Source organism: Homo sapiens, chromosome 5, assembly GCF_000001405.40.
Source record: "Homo sapiens chromosome 5, GRCh38.p14 Primary Assembly".
In the NCBI taxonomy this organism is placed as follows: Eukaryota; Metazoa; Chordata; class Mammalia; order Primates; family Hominidae; genus Homo; species Homo sapiens.
The window spans coordinates 1,247,928-1,271,935 of NC_000005.10; the positions used below are offsets into that span (position 1 = coordinate 1,247,928).

A 24,008-nucleotide genomic window follows, 5' to 3' on the forward strand; every position below is an offset into this window, starting at 1 on the left:
TGGAGGGTGGGGTGGAGGGAGGGGTGCTTCCCCAAAGGAAAGCCTCCAGCAGCCAAAGCAACAGCTGCGTTCCATGGTGTCACCCACTCACAGAGCCTGGAGGGTGGAGTGGAGGGAGGGGTGGTTCCCCAAAGGAAAGCCTCCAGAAGCCAAAGCAACAGCTGCGTTCCATGGTGTCACCAACTCACAGACGCAAAAGGTAGAGTAACCTGCTCAGAAGCAAACACTGCCAAGGGCGTGTGTCCCCAAAGGCAGCTCTTGGGACACCTTCCCCAACTCACCATAGGGCCTGCAAGTCCTGTCGTTGACCCGGACGAGAAAAACAGGCAGCTGTTGGCAGCAGGGGTGCTGACAAGCCACTCAGACTTATCCGAGGTTACATTTTGCGTCAATACCATACTTAGAAAATAACTAGGATGTGAGCAGGTGCCCCCTGCTCCCACCCTGGATCAGACTTTTGGGTGTAGCACATCCTAACGAGGGCTGGGGCTCTGCCCAACACTCTGTATGGGGGGAGCTAGAAGCAGCATCTATAGCCCCACCCTGAAGCTTCAGAGTCCTTGTCCAGCTGACGAAAAGGGAAGGGGTGGGGGGCTGGGACAGAGGACACAGTGGACGCTCAGCCCTCCAGAAAATGCCACACCACCCATGTGCCTGATGCAGCCATGGATAAAAGTGGGTAGAAAGGAGGAGGGACAGAGGTGGCCCAATAGGTGATGACAGGTGGACAGACGGACGCCACAAAGGGAGGCAGAGGTGGTCTGTCCCATCACATTGCCAAGGTTGTTCAGGGACAGGGGCTGAGGCCTCATGGGCTGTGGAGGTACCCGTGCACCATCGAGGGAGGGGGAGACAAGGGCCAGGCGGCGAGAGCAGAACTGGAGGGACTGACCCTGCGTGGCCACGCCCCATGCTCAACACCTTCAACTTGTCCCTCACCCTTGGGAAAAACATTCCAGGGGCGGGTGTCTCAGACTGGCCAGTGTCGGGACAGGAACAAAATGCTCCTATCACCTGACCAGAAGTGGCTGGAATAGAGGATCTGTAGCTCCACAGGGGCTCTCCCCTTCCAGGGGCCACCGTGTTGAACTGGAAATAAAGCCGGCTGCAAATGAGGCCAGCCGGCCCCAGAGATGGACACAGCTCCCATGACCATGGTGGTCACATGAGGACAGGCTGTCCCGTGAGCGGGTTCCTGGCAGAGGGTGACCCCAAGGCTGCTTTGCCAGGCACAGAGGAGTCAGGGAGCACTTGATGGGAAAACGAGGTTCAGGGCCCAGTTTTCAAAAGCCTGATGGGGCTCATCCTCAGGGGAGAGTCTGAGGTCACCAAGAACCAGGGGAGAATGCGTGAAGGACATAAGTGCAGAAGGAGAAGTGAGGCGGGAGGTCATGGAGGGCGCAGTCAGCACTGGAGCTGCCCCAGGACTCACCCACCCAGCTCCAAGGGAAGCAGCCCCTTCCAGCAAGGGTGGGCCTGGACCTGACAGAGAGGACCCCGCTGCCACGGCCAGGGAGCATGAGTCTCCCGTCCACACTGGGGGCTGGGGACTTACCACTCCAGGTGGCGAGCCCGGGGCTTCGTGCTGTGTCAGAGGAGAAAGCCAGCCAGGCCCCCTCCGGCAAGACTCGGTTCTTTCATGCCTGCATGAGGCTGAGGTGAGGCCCAGGCCTGTCGTGATGCTCGCTCTCTGGGGCCGCAGAAATGGGACCATGGAACCTGTGCATCCAGATGGCACCTTGGAGACCTGTCCGACCCTCCTGCAGGCCACAGCGGAGTGCCCAACACCAGGCTCCACAAACCTGGGTGACCTGCACTCGCCGGGGGCCCTGGTCAAAGCTGGATCCAGGGTGAAGAGGCTCCATCCCTTGCCCGTCAGTGTGAGGACTCCGCCAGCGGCCTCGGCCATTGGAGCTGGATGGGCACAGGAGCCCTGCTGCCCCAGCACACACATTTCATCATGACCCCAGGTGACCAGCACGCAGGGAGGCTGGCAGCCCCACTGTCTCTGTTCCTTTCTCCCTCTCGGCAGCAACTCCACCTGAGCTGTCCCACAGGATCCCCAGGGGTGGGCTGAGAGTCACTCTGAGAACTGTCCCTGTATTCATTTCCCTGTACTGCTATTCCATTTGCTGCTGTGACGAATCACTGCAGCTTAGTGGCTGAACACAAACGCATCATCTTACAGCTCTGGAGGCCGGAAAGCTGAAACAGGTCCCACTGGCCTGAAATCGAGGCGTGGGCAGGGCCGTGTGCCCTCAGGACCGGGGAGGATTGCTTGCTTTTCCAGCATGGAGCGGCTGCCCCCATTCCTTGGCTGGGGACCCCCTCCTCCATCTCAAAGCCAGCAGTGGCCAGTGGTCCTTCTCACGTCCCCTCTCTGACTCTCCCCTGCCTCCCTCTCTCACTTCTAGGGACCCTTGTGGCCATATCAGGCCCACCAGATAATCCAGGATGACCTTAAGATCGGCTGACTGGCAGCCGTGATTCCACCTGCAGCCTCCACCAGCCTCTGCCTTGCGGGTGACACATTCACAGGTTCCAGGAGAAGGACGTGGGCATCTTTGGGGAGGGGCTGTAATTGTGCCTGCCACAAGTGCCTGGGGCTTCTGAAACCCACCAAAGTTTGGCAAGCCCCCTGCACAGCATCCTTCCCAGGTGGGCACCTGGCACCAACATCGACGGTTACAGCAGGTGCAGGACCGGCAGGAGCGTGGGGCTGAGGCAGGAAAACAACCACTCCCTTTCAGGGGTCCTGGCTGGTGTCACCCACAGCCTCCACCCTTGCCTGCTTCTCCTCCCTTTCTGCTTTGAACTCACTCGCTCCATACACGCTTGTCTGTGGAAGGAAGCTGCTTGAGATGAAGTTCAGGCCTAAGGAAGTCCAAAGAGCTGGGGTTTTTCTTTCCCTTTAAAACTTTGTTATTTTCATTTTGCTCTGAGATTTGACAGTCTACCTAGCACCTAGCAGGCCTCCTTCTCCTTCTTTCTTCCTTCTTCCTTCTTCTTCTCTTTCCTTCTTCCTTCTTCTTCTCTTCTCCTTCTCCTTCTTTTTTTTTTTTTTTTTTTGAGACAGGGTCTCACTCTGTTGCCCAGGCTGGAGTGCGATGGTACAATCACAGCTCACTGCAGCCATGACCTCCCGGGCTCAAGCGATCCTCCCACTCAGCCTCCCGAGCAGCTGGGACTACAGATGCTGGACCCCACGCCCGGATAACTTTTTGCATTTTTTGTAGAGATGGGGTCTCCCTATGTTACCCATGCTGGTCTCAAACTCCTGGCCTCAGACAATCCTTCTGCCTCGGCTTCCCAAACTACTGGGATGACAGGTGTGGAAGCCACTGGACCTGACCTTACATAGTGGTTTTTAAAAGTGCCAGGCAAGGGCAGTGGCTCACACCTGTAATCCCAGCACTCTGGGAAGCTGAGGCCGGAGGATCACTTGAGCCTGGGGGTTTGCGGCTACAGCGAGCCATGACTGTGCCACTGCACTAACAACCTGGGTGACAGAGTAGACACCATCTCTAATAATAATAATAATAATAAATAAAAACAGACAAATAAAGTAGGTGCTTAGTGAGTTAAGCCATATCAAAGCAAATACCTTTTTTAAGGGTCTAATACTTTAGCAAAAAATATAAGTAATCCTGAGTAAAATTTCAACAAAAAACACCCGGAGAAACAGGAATCTGGAGCTTTGTAGAAGATGGATAGCTGAACAATGGCCTGACCTGTTGGTCTGTGATTCAAACCCAGGTGTGCCTGAGCAGCGGCCTCTGCTCCTGGGAGTCCCCGCCCTGTTCTGTCCAACCTCCCACTGAGGTCGTCCGCCCACGGCGCCCGGGGCCGCTCCCTTCCAGTTTGCAGGGCAAAGGCGCCCCCAGGCCGGCTGCCAAGAGCCCCTCCTTCCTCACAGCTCCTATACGGGGGCTCCAGGCACCAGAGTGCATTTACGACACAGTCTGTGGACTTGGGCCCACCATAAACACATTAGGCTCGGTCACTCAGACATTCTCTGAAGCAGCAGCAATAAATGACGCCATATCCAGTGGCCATAAGCCCCCACCCCGACACCAGGCACGTCCGGGCTGCACTCAAACCAGAAGCCCTGTCCAAGGTGCACTCAGTAGGACCCGGCCATACCATAAGGCCCCACCAGGGACCTGCTGGAAGGCTCTGGAGCCACTCACGCAGGGCCCTCGGTTTCGTGTGGCCCAAGCCAACTTCTGAGGAGGGGCTGTTTCTTCACCCCAAGACTGCGTCCCTCTGAGCCGCCCCTCCTGTTCTCTGCAATCCTTCCAGTTCCTTCTGCCTGAGGAAGGACGTATGTCCAGCTCCACTGCGAGCCTGGCACCCGCCCTGGGAGGTAAGTCTGGATGAGACTAGGAGATAAGAGGATAAGAGATGAGACTGGGAGATGGTAAGAGGATGACAGATGAGACTGGGAGATAAGAGGAAGACAGATGAGACTGGGAGATGATAAGAGGATGAGAGATGAGACTGGGAGATGATAAGAGGATGAGAGAGCATCACCAGCCCCACCCTGAAGCCTCCTGTGTCCACACCCTCCACTGCCCCACCCTACCCACCCTTCAGAGATCAGAATCCTGGTCTACTCTTAAGAGAATGGCCAGAGGCGGAATGTGACTTTCAACCTGAGTTGGGGCGTTCAGGAGGAGGAATCCTGGATTTTATACAGGATGGTGTCATGCCCCTGCCCCCCACCTCCATGAAAGCTGATGGCCCAGAGGATGTGCACCAGGGAAGCACATCCGGATCCACGGCTGCAGGTGGGAGGCAGGGGAGGAGGGGGCCCAGCCAGGCTTCCCCATCTTCCCCGCCACCCAGACCAGCCCCCCCCATCACCCCTGCCACCCCAGCTGGGGCCCCCATCATCCCTGCCACCCTGGCCAGGCCCTCCATCATCCCCGCCGCCCAAGCTGGGCCCCCAGCATCCCTGCTGCCCTTCGGGCCTGGACTTACTGTTATGTCTTCCAGGGTGGGGGCTCCCACTGTCTATCCCCTACCCTCCTTCCCCTCCTGCCTCACAGCATCAGAAACCTCCCAGGCCCAGCCAGGCCATGGGCCCGCACTGACCACAACCCCATTCACTCATAGACTTCCGTAAATGCACAGCCAGGCCATGGGCCCGCACTGACCACCACCCCGTTCACTCACAGGCTTCTGTAATTGCATACAGTGGTGTCTATGCAGTGCACATTAGGATTCAAACATGAGATTTTTTTCAAAACTGAAAAACTCATATATTCAGTATTTTACTCCCACAGCACCTCCCCCCAATTTGACCCACAGGGACCCCCATCCAGGTGCAGGGTCCTCGCCTGTGTACAGGGCACACCTTTGGTCACTCCAAATTCCCAGAGCTCCCAGGGTCCTTCTCAGGGTCTCCACCTGGATGGTGGGGGTGGAAGGCAAAGGAGGGCAGGGCGAGGGGTGAACAATGGCGAATCTGGGGATGGACTATTCCTATGTGGGGAGTGGAAGCCGGGCTCCTGGTGAGGAAAAGCTGGCCCTGGGGTGGAGCCGAGCGCCAGCCTGTGGGGAAGTGAAGACGGCAGGTGTGCTGGACACTCAGCCCTTGGCTGGACACTCGCTCAGGCCTCAGCCGGACACTCAGCCTTCAGCCGGACATGCAGGCCTCGGCCAAACACTCACTCAGGCCTCAGACTCCCAGCGGTGCGGGCCTGGGTGTGGGCCGCCCCTCCCTCCCTGGGACGTAGAGCCCGGCGTGACAGGGCTGCTGGTGTCTGCTCTCGGCCTGGCTGTGGGCGGGTGGCCATCAGTCCAGGATGGTCTTGAAGTCTGAGGGCAGTGCCGGGTTGGCTGCGGCCTCCAGGGCAGTCAGCGTCGTCCCCGGGAGCTTCCGACTCAGCTGCGTCTGGGCTGCGGGGCCAAAATCAGACTCCGTTCCAGAAGAGGCCAGAGGTGGCATCCTCCAACCCTCCTAGGACGTGTGGGTGGCCGGGCAGGCAGGGCCTGCACCTCGTGGCCCTGGCTGGTGGGAACCTCAGTGAAGGGACAGACACCCCTCCACCGGGGCGAGCAGACAGGCAGCCCAGTGACGCTGGAGCGGCGGGGCGGGGAGAGAACTTGCTCAGGACCCCAGGAGCTCAGGGCAGCAGCCAGGGAAGAGGCTGTGAGAGGACACAGGTCAGGGGTCAGAAGGCTCCCAAGCGTGGGGAGCCATCGCCCCTGAGATGGGAAGCAGGGGTTCAAGAAGTTGTGGACCCTGCCAGGCTCCGTGGCCTGGGGACACCAGCGTTTAATCACATAGGGCTGCCAGCGTGGCTCCAGGCCCCCAGGGTCAGGCCCGGGGGCGTCTGCACTTCAGCAGCATCTGAGGCTGCTCGCCCCACACAGGGCGTTCAAGGATGACCCCTGGGCAGGTGGGGCCCGCACTGGCCTCCACCCACACTTGCCTGTCCTGAGTGACCCCAGGAGTGGCACGTAGGTGACACGGTGTCGAGTCAGCTTGAGCAGGAATGCTTGGTGGCACAGCCACTGCACGGCCTCGGAGGGCAGAGGGCCGGCGGCGCCCTTGGCCCCCAGCGACATCCCTGGGGGAAAACAGAGGCTGAGGAGTCACAGGCCCAGCCCAGCTCCCCTCCCAGGAGACACCGGAAAGCTGCCCACACCCGACGGTCTGCGGGGTGGCTCCATCTCTGGCTGTCCCGACCCAAGCACCGCAGGAGTCACGACAGAAATGTTTTCTTCGGCTTCTCCAGGTGAAATTTCCACAACACAGAAAGAACAGAAAGTAGAAGCTGTTAAGCTCAGGACCGCAGGTTCGACATGGCTTGAATTTCAGACGGATCAGAAACCTCCCTGATGCTGGACAAAGTGTCCAGGGGCAGAGGACGGTGACTGGGAAGCAGAGGACGGCGCGGGGCTCTGTCGTGGTGATACGCGGCCTCTGCTCCTGAGAGGGGTGGGGTAGCCTGGGCCTGGCCTCCTCCTAAGCCCTTGGCCTGGGTTTGCACAAGGGCCCTAAGTGCCATGGACGGGAGACAGCCCAATCCCACCACAGGGCAAACAGGAGAGGCCAGGCCCCCCAAATCCCACCATGGGGCAAACAGGAGAGACCAGGCCCCCCAGCGCTTCCCCAGGCAGAGCAAGGTGGGAAGGATGGCAGCTCCCAGACAGCTCCTGTCCCTTCCATCAGGTGCTCTGCTCACCCCACGAGAGGGCGGGCAGACGAGCCTGACAGTGGTTGGGTTAAACCACTTCCTGATGCGAAAAGGGGTAAGAACTTCCTAAGCCCAGATTCACTCAGTCTCCTGACACACTAACACCAGCAGGCAGGCACTGCTGCCACTGAGGCCAGGCACCTGCACATACCTGCGTTCTTGGCTTTCAGGATGGAGTAGCAGAGGGAGGCCGTGTCAGAGATGACGCGCAGGAAAAATGTGGGGTTCTTCCAAACTTGCTGATGAAATGGGAGCTGCAGCACACATGCGTGAAACCTGAGAGGATGGCGGACAGCGTCAGAGGAAAGGCCTCCTAATCAGACGGTGCTCGTGGGTGTGGGCATGGGCCCACCGGTGCCTGTGTGCGTGCATGAATGCACATGCATGGGTTTCCTCATGGGCACAGGTGCACACACACGGATGCATGCATGCATGTCTGTGTGTGTGCTTGTGTGTGCGAGTAGCTGCGTGTCTGTGTGTGCACAGGTACACTGCGTTTCTGTGCACCATCTGTATGAACACGCATGTGGAGGCTGAAGCAGCTCCATCCTGGATGCCAGCCCCCCATGCTGGCTTCTGATTAGCCCCTGTTCCGGGAAGGCCTCTAAGGTTTCCAGTTTATCCATTGTTCCTTGTGTACCAGCAGGTACTTATCATGAATCCTGCCCTTCGTCAGACAACCTTGATGTCATCGTATATCAACGTCCTGCGCATCCCTTCTGAGCCACCCGCCCCTGTGGTGCATAAACCCTGGGTCTGGGGTGATGGTGTGAGGACCCATCATCTCATCTCACTGACACCGAGACACCGACTTGGCTTCTGTGTGTAGGTTAAGTTCCTACTAAATGTTTCTTTCCAAGAAACTGCATTTGTCAGTCTTCTTTGTTGTTGTTGAGATGGGCTCTCACTCTGTCACCCAGGCTGCAGTACAGTGGTGCAATCTCAGCTCACTGCAGCTTCCACCTCCTGGGCTCAAGTGATCCTCCCACTTCAGCCTCCCAAGTATTGGAACTACAGGCGCACACCACCATGCTCAGCTAATTTTTGTTTTTATTTTTCATAGAGATGGGGTTCTACTATGTTGCTCAGGCTGGTCTTAAACTCCTGGGCTCAAGGGATCCTCTCGCCTCGGCCTCCCAAAGTGCTGGGACTACAGGTGTGAGCCACCGCGCCAGCCCTGTCAGCCTCCATCTTTGGCCTCTCAGCTTCCTGGGACTTTGGGGCAGGTGTGCACAGACCTGGCTACCATGAAACAGCACATGTGCACATGTGCTCATATGTGCGTGTGATCAGAGCCCCCGTGTACCTGGTCTGACCCTCTGCCTGAGCCCCCCGTGTACCTCATCTCACCCAGTGCCTGAGCCCCCCATGTACCTGGCCTCACCCACTGCCTGAGCCCCCCGTGTACCTCATCTCACCCACTGCCTGAGCCCCCCATGTACCTGGTCTCACTGACTTCCTGAGCCACTTCTGGAATGACCTGAGATCACACCAGTCAAGCCAGCACCCCGGTTTCAGCCTCTCAGTAACTCTGCTGAGGTGGGATGTCTTTTCCCCATTTAGCAACAACGGAAGCCAGGCCCAGAATGTTTTTAAACAAATAAATAAGCCTAAGGTCCCGGGGTTGCCACACGGCCACGCTCCTGACCCAGGAGGGAAACACCTAGCATGGGTGAGGGGCTCTCTTCCAAAGGGAGAAATAGCCACCTGCTAGAGGTCGGGGCGTCCACCCCAAGCCCGTGTGGAGGCGCGGCCAGCACGGGCCAGGAAGGCCGAGCCCCAGCGGATTTGAATCAGACCCCGCCCCCAGCGCCACGTGGACCACCACAGCCTCGCCCACTGCAGCCTGGCTGCCGTGAAATCGGGGCCCAGCTCTCCGTTCTCCCACTCCTGCCTCGAGGGAAGGGGATTCCTGGGCCTTCCACGTGCCTGACTCTGTGTTTGGAAACGGCCCGTGGCCCATCGCATCTCGGCCTCCTCAGGGCTACCCAATCAAGCGACTACCCAAGGGTCCCCACATGGGTGGGGAAACTCAGCCGCCCTGCCCTGAGCCCAGGCCCTCTACGGGAGCTCCTCGGAGCTAGAGACCCTGGTGGGGAAATGAGGACAAGACTGAGCTGAATATGGGAGGAGCAGGTGGCAGGTCACATGGCCCTGGGAGTTTCCCAGGAGTTTTCACCTGGGAAAACTCCTCTGACCTCATCATGGCCCAAGGAGGCCCCAAGCACGCCAGCTGGACCCTGGGGTCAACCACAGTGTCAGACACCTCCAGTCCTCAGTGGCACCTGTATCCAGCACACCCCAAGGGTTTCCGGAAAGGAGTCAAGCAGCTTGCACGAGGGCCCAGGCACGCGTCAGGGAGATGCAAACGAGGGAAGATTTGAGGCAGAGAGAGAAGGCAGAGAGGAGGGCGGTCTGAGCCGGACGCACCCTGGAACTGAGACAGCCTGGTCCCAAGCCTCTGGAGCTGGTGCAAAGGCGGTAACATGCAGCTGTGGCTCTGCCCTCCCTGCCAGAGCATGAAGGCGCAAGCACTCGGGTTAAAAACCATTTTCATGGTACGACCTTGTAATGGAAAACTCTCCCGTGAGCCCTTGCTGGGTTTCCACGATAGACGACGACCTCATTTCACATCAAGTGTGCACGGTAATTCGCGCAGCCTCGGCCCTGGGTAACACAAATGCTCACACTCCTTCTCAGCCCTCATGGGGCGAGGGCTTCGGCCTCCTGGCATTCAGCTCCCAGTGGCTCGGGAGGCCTGTTGAGGTGGAGGCCCGGGCCTGTGGTGCCCGACTGCCCTTTGGTACAGCCCCGAGGCTTGTGCCACCACCTGCCCTGACTCCAGGCAGAAGCTGGCCCTGTGGCCTCCACAGATTGGCCCTTCCCTCTGTGATAAAGTTGTCGATTCTTGGCAGGGGCACCCCCTGACCAGCCAGGACAGGGAACGTTCCAGGAGCACAGCCATGCCCAGAGCACAGGTGCTGGCCGGGCTGTGTGGGGAGCCACAGCTCTGCTGCACCTTCCCGGGGGTGGGGCCAGCGACCCTCACCTGCACCCACCTCGGCCCTCTTTGCTGAGACCCCAAATCCTCCGGGCATCTGATCTCCCATCTACTGTTCAGACACCTTCCCAGCCTCCTCTGCTAAGACTCCCCATAAACATCTCTTTACCCCATGCCCCTGCTGCCCTGGGATGGCCTCCATGACGTCCCACGGCCAGTGCACAGGCACAGTGGGGACACCTGGGGCCACACCGGCTCCTACCACTACCCAGAGATGGAGAACAGGTGCTTTGCACAGAGCCACGCGAACAGAACTGTGCACAGGCAGCAGCACCACTGAAAACGTAAGACATTCCTTGCCCCTAAAACCCAGGAGTTCCAAGGTGAAGCCCCGGGTCAGAGGTGAGCAGAGCGCGGAGGGTCCCTGGAGGCTGGGCCTGCACCCCTTGGTGGCGGCTCACCTGTACGCCTGCAGCAGGAGGATCTTGTAGATGTTGGTGCACACCGTCTGGAGGCTGTTCACCTAGAGTCGCCAAGAAAGAGTGAGAAACGGTAGAAACCTCTCTGGGATTTTAAGTTTTTACTTTTTGCTTTATCATCCATTCAGATGGAACAAGAAAGAGGAACATTTTGACAAGAAACTATCCCTCTTCCCAGTGAAATCCGGCCTGGCCCTCACCCGGCAGCTGCGAACCACCCTGGGCGAGTCAAGACTCTGTGTCATCTGCCTGCCCCCGAGGCTCGGCCAAGACAGGAAGGAACCAGGAGAGGGAGTGGACGCAAATGCCCACAGAGAGGGGAGGTGGACGCAGATGCCCACAGAGAGGGGGAGTGGACGCGGATGCCCACAGGAGAGAGGGAGTGGAGTGGATGTAAATGCCCACAGGAGAGGGGGAGTGGACACAGACGCCCACAGGAGAGAGGGAATGGAGTGGATGTAAATGCCCACAGGAGAGGGGGAGTGGACACGGACGCCCACAGGAGAGAGGGAGTGGATGCAGATGCCCACAGGAGAGGGAGTGGACGCGGATGCCCACAGGAGAGGGGGAGTGGAGTGGATGCAGATGCACACAGGAGAGGGAGTGGACGTGGATGCCCACAGGAGATGGAGTGGATGCAGATGCCCACAGGAGAGGGAGTGGACGCGGATGCCCACAGGAGAGGGAGTGGACGCAGATGCCCACAGGAGAGGGAGTGGACATGGACGCCCACAGGAGAGAGGGAGCAGACGCAGATGCCCACAGGAGAGGGAGTGGATGCGGACGCCCACAGGAGGGGGGAGTGGACACGGACGCCCACAGGAGAGAGGGAGCGGACGCAGATGCCCACAGGAGAGGGAGTGGACGCGGACGCCCACAGGAGGGGGGAGTGGACACGGACGCCCACAGGAGAGAGGGAGCAGACGCAGATGCCCACAGGAGAGGGAGTGGACGCAGATGCCCACAGGAGAGGGAGTGGACATGGATGCCCACAGGAGAGGGGGAGTGGACACGGATGCCCACAGGAGAGAGGGAGTGGACGCAGATGCCCACAGGAGAGGGGGAGTGGACACGGACGCCCACAGGAGAGACGAGTGGATGCAGATGCCCACAGAAGAGGGAGTGGACGCGGATGCCCACAGGAGAGGGGGAGTGGACACAGACGCCCACAGGAGAGAGGGAGTGGATGCAGATGCCCACAGGAGAGGGAGTGGACGCGGACGCCCACAGGAGGGGGGAGTGGACACGGACAACCACAGGAGAGAGGGAGTGGACACAGATGCCCACAGGAGAGGGAGTGGATGCGGATGCCCACAGGAGAGGGGGTGTGGACGCCCACAGGAGAGGGGGAGTGGACACAGAAGCCCACAGGAGAGGGAGTGGACGCGGATGCCCAGATGGGACAATGCCCTCAGGGCTGCAGCTTCAGAGCCTCAGCCCACCAAGGCCTGGGACCCCGTCTCATCCTGTAAGGAGTGGCACTGGTGCTGAGGACCTAGCGGGGTGAACACGAGGACCCCTCAATACATGTTATGTGCACACATGCTACTCACACTGCACACCCACACGCATGCACCTCACGTGAATGCCCACACGACTGTGCACGAACACACATGCATGTCAGGTGTGCATTCGCATGTGCACACACTTGTGCCCTTGCACACCTGTGCACACACTGCCATGCCTTCATGTACACACATGCACACATGTATGTGCTCACGTGTATATGCGTACATGTGCACTCTTACGTGCAGCCAGTCACCATCAGCCTTGCAGGCACGCGCGCACACACACACACACATACTTGCGCACACACCTCCTGAACTCTGAACTCTGTGCTGACCATCAGCCTGCTCACCTGCAAATCCAGAAACAGGCTGTGACACTTCAGCCGCAAGACCCCAAAGAGTTTGCGACGCATGTTCCTCCCAGCCTTGAAGCCGCGGTTGAAGGTGAGACTGGCTCTGATGGAGGTCCGGGCATAGCTGAGACACAGGGGGGAATGTCAGACACAGGTGCCTGCCCCACACCCAGCCCCCTCCTGCAAAGCTTGCTCCAAAGAGCCTCCTGCCTTCCTCCCGCTTCCTTGTCCTGCCTGGGGCATGCGCTGCAGCCCGAGGGGGCTGGGTGCTCACTCCATGGACTCCAAATGCTACATGCCATCCAGACTCTGCATGACCAAACTCCACCAGGACCTGGCTAGTGATGTTGAGTGTATCCAAACCTCGCACGGCCGTGTTTGTGCACTCATCATCTGCCCTGATGAGATCTGCACATAACTCAGCCAAAAACACATAATAAACTGTGGAGCCCTGGCTCCCGGGCGTCCCTCGAGTGAACACAGGTGTGACTCAGGTTTTTTGTGGGAGAACACTGAGTTGGGCGTGGGGAATCTCACTGTGTTTGAATCTCAGGGATGGAAGAGCCAGGTGGCACCAGCTAAACAGGGCTCCAGTGAGTGCACGTGGCACACATGGTGTCTCCAGAGGGGCAGGATGGAGGCATCCCACCGATGTCCTCCAGGGCCTCACCACCACTCACTGCCCATGTATGTCCATGTCCAAAGATGAACACACATGACATCCACGGCAGGCTCCTGGGGTGTGTTCTTTTACATCCAGCTTTGAACACTGCTACATTGAAATAAACGTTTTGTGCCATTAAACATTCTTCAAAAATTCTTTGAAAAATGTTTAATGGCAGAGCAAGTTTTGTGATGCATAATATCTCCTTAGCCCTGTATTTGGGCAGGTTCGTGACTTGCTGTGGCAAGTCCCCCTGCCTGGAACACTGGAAATGGTAAATAAGACCCGTGATAATGTCTGGTCACTTCAGAAGTGGAATTACTGGGAAGACACAGGACATTGTGAGGACTTCCATGCAAACAAGCTGCTTTCCAGAAAAGTCTTTCCAGCTTGCCTCAACCTGATGCTGGCTCTTGGCAAGCCCAGAAAAGGAGCCAGCATGAGGGATGGGGACAGGTCTCGCCATCAGTTTCACGTGCGTTTCTTTGAGGGATGGGTCTCGCTGTCAGTTTCACATGCATTTCTTTGACGCTGCTGGTAGGACCTTCCCAAGTGTGCATCAGACGTCCATTTCTTCTTTCACAGCCATCCCCAACACGACCTTGGGCTCCGGCTCACCCTGAGCCTATGGGTCTGACTTGTGTGGGGTCCTCGGGCAGAGCAAGGGCCCCGGAGCAGGAGGCCAGGCTGCAATCATGCATGCCCTTTGCCAGCTGGGTGACCAAGGGCGGCTGCTCCCCTGGAGCCTTTCCTCCTCTACCTCTCAGGTGGTTAGGAGAACAAAGTGAGAGGATGAATGTGCAGGACCTCACAGGGCGCCTTAAATAAATCACGTGCACAAACGCTCCAGGGAATGGCCATTTTCACTGTGGCTCAGGCAAGCTGAGTTTCTCTGCAGTGAAAGCAATGCCCGTTGCCTCACTGGTTTCATCCGCCTCCCTGTGTGTCCTTCCCCAACACCAAACCAGGGAACGTTCACCTCCCTTCCCTTTGAGTCTTTTGTTTTATTTCTGTTGCTGGTGTTGTTTGCATGTGTCTCCTCTTCTACCTAGAATCTGCTCTGGTATATGCTGTAAAGACACAACTTATTTGCTTCCAGTCAGTTTTCTCAGAAAAAAAAATTACACACACACTCTCTTTTCCATCAGCTGTGCCACATACCACATTAACACACGTTTCTGAGAGATAGGGCTTCCGTTTTGTTCTATTGTTCTGTCCATCAGTTCTGACCACATTCTACCATCTGAGCTGTGGTTTGGGAGACTAAAATCTGGACAAGAAAATTCCCATCTTACCACTTTTCCTTTTTCACTTTTCTTAATCATTTTGCCTGTTTTCTTCTCCCAGATGCCCTTCAAGCCTCTGCTGTATACTTCAGACACAGAGGATGTGAGTTCACCCTGAGTATGGCGAACCACTGCCTCCACTGCTGAGCTTTTAGAGCCACCTCTGCAAGCACACACTCTGACCAAGTGGCCTTTGGGAGCACAGAATATTCTGGCATTGGACCCACATCTGATGACCTGATGCCCACCCATCCTGCACTAGCCTCTGTGGCTTTGCAATGTGTTTAGAGAGAACCCATTTTCCTGATTTGTTTGTCTGTCCTTTGTCCTTCAATAACATTCACTGATGCTGTGCCAGAGGCTGGAACCAGGGGTGCCTGTCCTAAAAAATACATTTCATGGGGAGCAAAATAAGCAGTGGACAGTTCACAGCTGACTGGTATGGCCAGCACTGCAGAGGTGCCTGGGAGAGGCGAAGAGGTGCTGGGAGCCCAGGAAATGTGGAAATCATGCAGACAAAGCCAGTGGAGGCCAGGACCAGGTAAGGCTGTGAGAGGGAAGCAGGGACTGTGGGGAGCACAGGAGACCGGCATCCTTGTGGGGAGGGAGCTGCAACAGGGACATGCTGGGCACCATGCACAAGGGTGTCTGCACCTGCCACTCCCCCATCATGAGGGCGTCTGCACCTGCTGCTCCCCCATCACGAGGGTGTCCACACCTGCTGCTCCCCCATGAAGCAAACCCCAGGGAGCATTCTGGAAAGAGGCAAAGTCCAGATCTGGACTGTTAACTCAGAACGACAGGACCCCAGTTTAAACCTCTGGTTTAACAACCATCCACCACTTATTTCTCTTCCCATGAAGGTGTGCCTTTCAGAGGAAGGCACCCCCAGTTCCGGCCTCTAGCACAGCACCAGTAAATATTATCGAAGGACAGAATAAAAAAACACCTGTCCACTATGGTTTTGGAATGCTGATACTTTTTTTTTTTTTTTTAAGATGAAGTCTCACTCTGTTGCCCAGGCTGGAGTGCAGTGGTGTGATCTCGGCTCACTGCAACCTCTGCCTCCTGGGTTCAAATGATTCTCCTGCCTCAGCCTCCCGCATAGCGGGGACTACAGGCGTGTGCCACCAGGCCAGGCTAATTTTTGTATTTTTTAAGTAGAAATGGAATTTCACTATGTTGGTTAGGTTGGCCTCAAACTCCTGGCCTCAAGTGATCCACCCACCTCGGCCTCCCAAAGTGCTGGGATTATAGGTGTGAGCCACCTTGCCCTGCCTGGAATGTTGATACTTTTTATTCATAAAAGAAACAGCACAGATTTCTGCATCTGTGTCCATCTTCAATTCATTTGTGTCTGAGCCTGAGACGGGGCCTTGAGCTCTCGGGCTCTGGGGAAACAAGACCCCAGAATTTTGTAGAGACCCCCCCCACACCATGGCCCTGTCCCCTGATGGGTCACACGTGATCATGAACTCATGGCATCCTGTAGACTGTGGATGAGCCTTGGAGTGTGGGGCTCACAGCGGAGAGACTCACGCCCAAAAGGGCCCTGAAGTCTCTGGGTTCGGAGAGACTCACGCCCAGCAGGGCCCCAGGGTCTCGGGTTCAGAGGGACTCATGCCCAGCAGGGCCCCTGTGTTTCGGGTTTGGAGAGACTCACGCCCAGCAGGGCCCGGGCGTCTTGGGTTCGGATCCAGACTGCTTTCTGAAGACACCTCAGTGCACCCAGGTCTGGTGCACCATTTCCTTTTACCAAAATAGCACAGAAAACTGCTCCCGTTGTGAGCACCCTCACTCCCACAGAAAGATGCATTTCTGCTCAGCCCCAGATGGGACGAGGGGCACCCTGTGGCCTCTGACCCTTTGGGATTGGCAGTCGCCTGCCCCACACGGAAGCAGAGGTGGACGCAACGGCCCTGCAGCAGCACCTGCCCCAGCCGGGCACAGGCTCCACTTCCGGCCAGGTGCGCTCACCTGGAGTAGTCGCTCTGCACCTCCAGGGTCCGGGTATCCAGCAGCAGGCCGCACCAGGGGAATAGGCCGTGGGCCGGCATCTGAACAAAAGCCGTGCCACCCAGGGCCTCGTCTTCTACAGGGAAGTTCACCACTGTCTTCCGCAAGTTCACCACGCAGCCATACTCAGGGACACCTCGGACCAGGGTCCTAAGGCAGAGGGGCAATGTCAGCCCCAGGATGCGGGGCCGTCACCCAGGAGGTAACCTGACACCCTTGTTAAATGCTTTGGAAAACCCCAGAGAAGTGGTGATTTGGAGCAGGGTGCTGGGCCTGGCAGGAGCTCTGAGGAGCCTGGACCCAGCCCTGCTCCAGACTTCGGGGTGCTTTCCCTGTCTCCCGGGCAGGACAGGTAGGTGAGCATGCAAGAACCTGGCCTGGACCCGGGACAGCCAGGACTCAGATGGGAGGTGCAGCCCCAGTGGCCTCTGTGATGGTCCATCTCATGTGTCCCCATGGCAACACCACAATCCCGTTATAGACTCATCTGTGGTCCGGGGCAGACTAAAATCTGGACAAGAAATTGCCACCATCCCACCTTCTTTTAAGACGTTTCTCAACGACTTTGCCTGTTTTCTCCTAGATGCCCTGAAGGCATCTGCTGTGCTTTAGACAAAGGGGAGGGTTCTGAGTTCCTGCTCAGGCGCGGGACCTGGCTGGGCTGTGAGCTGGGCAACACCAGTCGTCAGCTTCACGTCAAGGAGGTTCCCTCGCCGAGTCATGAGCCTCGCTCACCCAGCTCAGGGAGCCCCCCTGTGCCCGGTAGCCTCTGCTCTGGCCTGGGCATCCCCTTCCCTTCCTGCGGCCTCTGCTGTGGCCCCGGGCGTCCCCCTGCCCTTCCTGTGGCCTGGCCCTGGGACCTCGGCCAGCTGCGCAGCTCCCCTGGTGCATTCCCAGCTCCCTGTGGCCACCCCTTCCTGTTACATGGCTGCCGACTCATCAGAGACAGAGTTCTGCCCCCGGTGGGACCCCAACATACACTCTGAGCCACCTCCCTGGCCAGCACCCTCAGGAACTTGCCACACAGAAGCAGCGTTCCCCGTCTGCTCTGTCCCCTCAGCAGCCTCAGGACTCCTGAGCCCTCAGTTGCTTGGGACCTGGGCTCCCCCCGAGTGAATCTTAGTGGATTTAAATGTGCACAGCCTGCTGTGCTCCGGGCTGCGGCACAAGGAACGCCAGGCATACCCCCAGCCCAGGGCGGCCCTGGAGGGTGGACCTGGAGGGTGGACTTGGAGGGCGGGTCCAAATGGGTTTTCACAAACACAGCCCAGCAAAGCACCTGAAACCACCCCTGGCGGCCACATTTTCTGAGGGTTCCCTTTACAGCTTTCAAGGTTTCTCGTCCCTCGTCAAATCGCACTTTAAAACAAGCCCACCGGCTCTGTGGGGCGCCCTTGAGGGGGACCACATTGGACAATCCCCTGTGCTGAGGCCAGGTCCCCTGTGCCTGATTTTAGTTTGATTCACAAAAATCAACTCTGAAACCCACTCCTAGCCATCTCCGTGGTTCAAGACAGCAGCACTCAGCAAATCCAAATTCTCCCACCGATCCCAAACAACCCCACGCAGGAACGTGACCGCAGCGAACGCTGTGGGCCAGCTCACTCAGCAGCTCCTGCTCTCCGCAGGCTCAGGTGCACCCTGGGGAGGAGGCTGCCGCCTCGGCCCTGCAGGCCCTGTGCACAGCTCCTGGGGGTCTCACTGGGGCCCCAGGAGCCGCCACTCTTGACTTTCCAAAGAGCAGCAGGAGCCAGGTCACCGCCTGCACTCACCACGTGTGTAACCTGGGTGCGTCTCTGCAGGACCAGGGCCTGCACGGTACCCACTCCCTCCCGAAGGTGCCCCTGCGCCCCCAGGCCTGGGTGCACGGCCAAGCGCCTCTGCTCTTGCGGATCCAGCACCGGCAGAGAGAGAGGACTTGGCAGAGACAACGCTGCGGTGCCAGGGGCAGGACACGGGGGGCTCAACTGCAAAGCCCACAGGCTGTGGAGGTCCCCACAGACACACGGCACGGGCCTCACCTGAGGAAGGTTTTCGCGTGGGTGAGGTGAGGTGTCACCAACAAGAAATCATCCACCAAACGCAGGAGCAGCCTAAAATAAGGGAAAATACACAGCAAGGTTAACTTTACACTTTTTACGTAGTATCTGTCTACGAGGGACTGAATGTCAAACAATTTACACAGCCATAAATAAAGTAACATTCTCCAAAGCGGTTAAATGAAAAACTTAAATTTCTTTCCAACAGACGAGCTCTCTACAGTTAACTGCTACAGCAATTCCTCATTCATTATAAGTACTCAGTGTTTACCATCAGCTTGTGCAATTCTGTGCCAGCTGAAGACGAACGAAGGCCATCAGGCGCGGCCCCACTTCTCAGACTCTTAGGGAAAAATAACTGAAGACGGTAAGAAAGCTGGGGCTGGGAACCTCGCCCCCTCTGAGCCACGTGGTGCCCTTTACCAGCATGGCAGCTGTGGTCCTCAGCATGATCCGAGACCCAGATCCTATCCACAGGAAGCTGGGCATGGTGCACTGTGTGACCCTCAGGCCCAAGCCCAGCGCCCCATGACCATGGGCCAGAGGTATCCTGTCCCAGAGGGCTGACCAGTGTGCCGCCAGCTCGAGGACACTTTCCTCCAAATCCCAGAGCAAGTTGTGTGTACAAGAAATTTTTGTTTCTGTTACATAAACTTATTTCAATCTAGAACTTGAACCTTAATGAAGAAGAACCTTGATCCACTGTACATGCTATAATTGGAGCTAGAGTTTCAAAAGATGCACAGGAAAAACCCGGAGTCTTCGAGAGAAATGGCTGTGTGGCCTGCAGGCTTCCTGACGCATCCTTCACTAACTGTCTGCTTGTTCAGTGATACTATTTTCATAAAAAAATAACTGCTGTCCACATCCTCTCCAGCACCAGAACACTTTTACACTGTTGGTGGGAGTGTAAACTAGTTCAACCATTGTGGAAGACAGTGTGGTGATTCCTCAAGGATCTAGAACTAGAAATACCATTTGACCCAGCCATCCCATTACTGGGTATATACCCAAAGGATTATAAATCATGCTGCTATAAAGACACATGCACACGTATGTTTATTGCGGCACTATTCACAGTAGCAAAGACTTGCAACCAACCCAAATGTCCATCGATGATAGACTGGATTAAGAAAATGTGGCACATATACACCACGGAATACTATGCAGTCATAAAAAAGGATGAGTTCATGTCCTTTGTAGGGACATGGACGAAGCTGGAAACCATCACTCTGAGCAAACTATTGCAAGGAAAGAAAACCAAACACCACATGTTCTCACTCACAGGTGGGAACTGAACAATGAGAACACTTGGACACAGGGTGGGGAACATCACACACCAGGGCCTGTCATGGGATGGGGGGAGTGGGGAGGGATAGCATTAGGAGATATACCTAATGTAAATGATGAGTTAATGGGTGCAGCACACCAACATGGCACATGTATACATATGTAACTAACCTGCACGTCGTGCACATGTACCCTAGAACTTAAAGTATTAAAAAAAAAAAAGTAACTGCTGTCAATAAAAGCCAGCTGAGTTGAACCACATTAGGTTGGCACGATATTTAGGTGTGTGCGTCCTTGGGTGTAGACCCCATGCAAGTGGGATGGGCAATGGGCTGAAGAGGCGCCCAGTCCAGGCCACCTGTCGAGGGCCTGCTGGGAGATGTGGGGCCTCAGGCTGCACCAGCCCCATCTCCCCAAGGACCCTAACGGAACCTGGGTGACGTGACAGAAGCTGGTGTGCTTCCTCGGTGTTGAATTCACATGCTCATCATGCAGGGCAGCGGCCCTCCCGCCTGCTGAGCCCTGAGGCCTCTGGACATGGCCGCTGGACAGAGCCTGCGTGGAGCCCGCAGTCCTCAGGCTGTGCAACCCCTCCCGTGCGGCTTCATACCAAGAAGGGGCTGCAACCTTGTCTGGTTCCTCAAGACAGAGCAGTCATGGTCTCCAGAGCACCAGGAATATTAACACTGAATGCATCAAAAGCAAATCAACCCCCACCCAAGCCCCCCTGGGGAAGAGGAGGCCTCACCCGTCCCGCCGAATCCCCGCAAACAGCTTGTTCTCCATGTCGCCGTAGCACAGGCTGCAGAGCAGCGTGGAGAGGATGGAGCCCTGCGGGATCCCCTGGCACTGGACGTAGGACCTGGGGCGGGAAGACACAGGTGAGAGACGGGCAGGGCATGTGCTGGACATGCGTACACTCAAACCGAGCCACACACAGACACAGAACCTCATACACACAAACGACACGTCTACCATTCAGCCGGCAAACACCTCAGAAACATACCAGATGAGACCTCTGAACAAACAATCCCTGCTCCCCACTCTCACCATGCACTGGGGCGGCTGAAACAGATCCAGCCACAGGTGTGACCACATCCTTGCTCTGAATCATCAAGGTTTTCTTTCATTAAGGTTTCTTAAATCTTAGAGTTTATTCACAGAACCAGACACTTGACCCGGAATGAATGCTTAACCGGACTCCTTTTTTTTTTTTCAAGGAATTTGTCCACGGTGAAAGACTCATGACCCTACATGTAGCCGCTGCGCGCCAACGGATACAACCTTGCCCCTAGTTTCAGCATGACCAACGAGAAGCAGAAACTCTCCAAACAAGGATGCCAAGGGTGCGTTTTCAGACAAACAGTGAGAGCAGAATAGCCCCGTGGAACCTAAAGGTGCACACAGAAGGCATGGCTGCCACGCGACCCTCAGCCATCCCCAGAGCCCACAGGACGCCACTCCTGTTGCTAAGAGACGCTTGCAGCCTACTGCAAAAACAAGACCTGTTATTTTCGGGAAGCGCTATAGGTGGTCACCTTAAAAAGAGGCTTTCCGGCTGGGCGTGATGGCTCACACCTGTAATCCCAGCACTTTGGGAGGCCGAGGTGGGTGGATCACCTGAGGTCAGGAGTTCGAGACCAGCCTGGCCAACATGGCAAAAACCCCTCTCTACTAAAAATACAAAAATTAGCCAGGCGCAGGGGGTGGGTGCCTGTAATCTCAGCTGCTCGGGAGGCTGAGGCAGGAGAAATGCTGGAACCCGGGAGGCGGAGGTTGCAGTGAGTTGAGATCGCGCCACTGCACTCAAGCCCAGGCAGACAACAGTGACGTTCCGTCTCAAAAAAAAAAAAAGAAAGAAAAGAAAAGAGGCTTTCCTTGCTGGTGCAGATATCACAGTGATGGGCAAGAGGACTGCACTTTTTGCACAGAAGCACACGCACCAACTCTAGGAGTCCGGCCAGCCCAGCGAGTCAACGCAAGCAGATACGCCCCTGTGAGCACATGGGATGGGAAACTCTCTCTGTTCTTAGTTTTTGGGGCAACAGGTTTTGAAGACGTTTTTATTCAGAGGCCAAACTGGACCACGATGGGGACTAGAGCTTCGGGCCTGTCCGTGTCCTAGGGACAGGACAGACACAGTCACCTCCTGTCTGTCAGGGCATGAGGACGCAGTCATCACCTCACATTCCCCAAAGCCCTGCCACACGTGGACGGTACGTGACTTGATCCATCTTAATAAAATTCACGACCACGAAGGAGGCCCGTGGTGGCTTCTCTGGGGAGGTGACTTTGTCAGCGAATTCTGTGGGCCTGGGGGCCGCTTACACACATGTGCACACGTGTCCCTCGGCCAAAATTCACTCTGCTGCCATGTGCAATTTGTGTTTTTCCAGAACGTGTGTACTACTTAATATTTCTAATTATACTTTAATAAATATTATAATTGCTGATACCATTAGTGATTACTTATAATGCAATAATTAATAGTTATATTTTTAAATAAAAGCTTCCGAAGCTGTGCACAGTCCTTTATCCGCTGGAGACGATCCCAGAGAGAGGCCTCCACGTTCCACCTGACTGCGGATGACCTTGCTGATGACCTTGAGTGTGCACGAATTTCCTCCGTGCTACCACTCTCCCCAGGCACACACAGGGTCGCAGGCAGATGCCTGCCGGGAGGTGTGTGGTTTTACTTAAAATCCAGAGGACGTGATGTGGCACCAGGCACTGTGGCTCTACCACCGTGAGTGTGGCTCACCCAGTGGCTGTGTGACGGCAGCTCTCCCAGGCCGCCTGCCCCATGGCCACCACAGGCCCCCCGAGAGGAGCAAACTACACGGTCAACCCCGCACTTTCCAGATGGGAAATCTAGTCACAGAGAGAAGAGCCCGCGCCCTCGCGGGGGTCACACGACAGGGACAGGAATGAGAATCGGATAAAATCCTTTTGTATCGGGAGAGAGAGATACAAGCGTGTGAGAGCCGGGTGTCCAGCGTCAGTAGTAACTTGGAGCTGACAAGCTGCAGGCTCAAACGCTCGGCGCACACCTGACCCAGACACACCCCCCGCCCCTCGTCCTCCACGCAGGAGCAACTCCACACCCCGCTTGCCATTTCCAGGCCTCGTGTGGCACCTGCTCCGCTCCGGCTGCCGCAAGCCGAGCCATGTTTCCGGGGCCTCGGGAGCCTGCAGCCCAGGAGCCGGAGGGGGCGGGGGCCAGAAAAGGAGACTCTGGTGGCCCCGGGCAGAAGGGCAGTGGGGAAGGGGCAGGAGAGAGGTGAGCAGAAGCCCTGCCAGCCCGCCCAGCCACCCGCAGGGCAATGGCACCTGGCCACCTGACTCACTTGCCCCTGATGCGCACGGCGTGGTGGCACATGAAGCGTAGGAAGACGTCGAAGAGGCCACTGCTGGCCTCATTCAGGGAGGAGCTCTGCGAAAGCAGACGGGAGACACATGGGAGTGAGCCGGTGGGTGCTGAGACAGGCAGGACCACGTGGCCAAGACCCTCCGTCCCTTTTGGGGTCAGTGTTTGTGATGAAGTGCGGGGCTGGGCTGGAATGCAGGGCCATCGTGGGCTGGCCGGGCCGAGTCTCTGCAGACACACATGGGCTTAGGCAGAGTGTGTGACACAGAATGTCTCCTCTGGGCCACCTGTGGGTCCAGCTGGGCTCACACCCACACAGCCCACCGTGGCCCGGATGGCATATGTGATCCAGGAGTTGCTGCCCAGCTGCCGGGCACAGGGTCTGGGTCCCAGCAGCCCAGGCCACCTCCACCCCCACCCTGGGAGCCAAGGAAATTCGCCCAGAGGTCTCTGAGCCTCATGCGGTGGACACGACTGTCCCCTAGAGCCGAGCAAGTGCTAACAGGCATCTGCAAAGAGCCACAGGGCCACGTGGACAGACCACATCTGCAAAGGGCCACAGGGCCACGTGGACAGACCCAGCACTGAGAGGCCCGCTCAGCGGGGCGTGGCTCAAACACGGCCCGTCCTCCTAAGAAGGGGGACACGTTTCCTTTGGCCTCAGACCCAGCACTGAGGGGCCAGCTGGGCAGGACACGGCTCAAACATGGCCTGCCCTCCTAAAGGAGGGGGACACCTTTCCTTTGGCCTCAAGATCAAAACTGGCAGAGAAGACATTTAGCAAATCATGAACAAAG

General features: G+C 57.0%; 1 protein-coding gene across 4 annotated transcripts in view, besides 2 other annotated features; it reads right to left on the reverse strand.

Moving 5' to 3' along the window:
- Positions 4,401–5,059: a promoter, noted in NCBI's record as "MNS16A promoter containing VNTR-302 haplotype". NCBI's record gives the evidence for it as "EXISTENCE:reporter gene assay evidence [ECO:0000049][PMID:14562040]".
- Positions 5,240–24,008, reverse strand: part of TERT (telomerase reverse transcriptase) — a 41,902-nt gene continuing 23,133 nt past the window's right edge. For 2 of the 4 annotated variants that reach the window (NR_149163.3, NR_149162.3), the window contains exons 7-13: positions 20,593–20,706; positions 18,537–18,608; positions 12,547–12,673; positions 10,671–10,732; positions 7,360–7,484; positions 6,441–6,578; positions 5,240–5,904 (exon numbers count right to left, since the gene is read on the reverse strand). Coding sequence is in view for 2 of the 4 variants with exons in the window: in NM_198253.3 (NP_937983.2) it covers positions 5,801–5,904; positions 6,441–6,578; positions 7,360–7,484; positions 10,671–10,732; positions 12,547–12,673; positions 16,477–16,665; positions 18,537–18,608; positions 20,593–20,706; positions 23,192–23,277 (1,017 nt within the window). In the remaining 2 variants the exon portion in view is untranslated. Of the gene's footprint in view, positions 5,905–6,440; positions 6,579–7,359; positions 7,485–10,670; positions 10,733–12,546; positions 12,674–16,476; positions 16,666–18,536; positions 18,609–20,592; positions 20,707–23,191; positions 23,278–24,008 lie in introns of all 4 variants that reach the window. The other 2 variants (NM_198253.3, NM_001193376.3) reach the window with 2 other exon arrangements.
- Positions 16,280–16,897: an enhancer, noted in NCBI's record as "H3K4me1 hESC enhancer chr5:1264322-1264939 (GRCh37/hg19 assembly coordinates)". NCBI's record gives its function as "activates a minimal SCP1, AML or CMV promoter by ChIP-STARR-seq in primed H9 embryonic stem cells {active_cell/tissue: H9 hESC(primed)}" and the evidence as "EXISTENCE:reporter gene assay evidence [ECO:0000049][PMID:30033119]".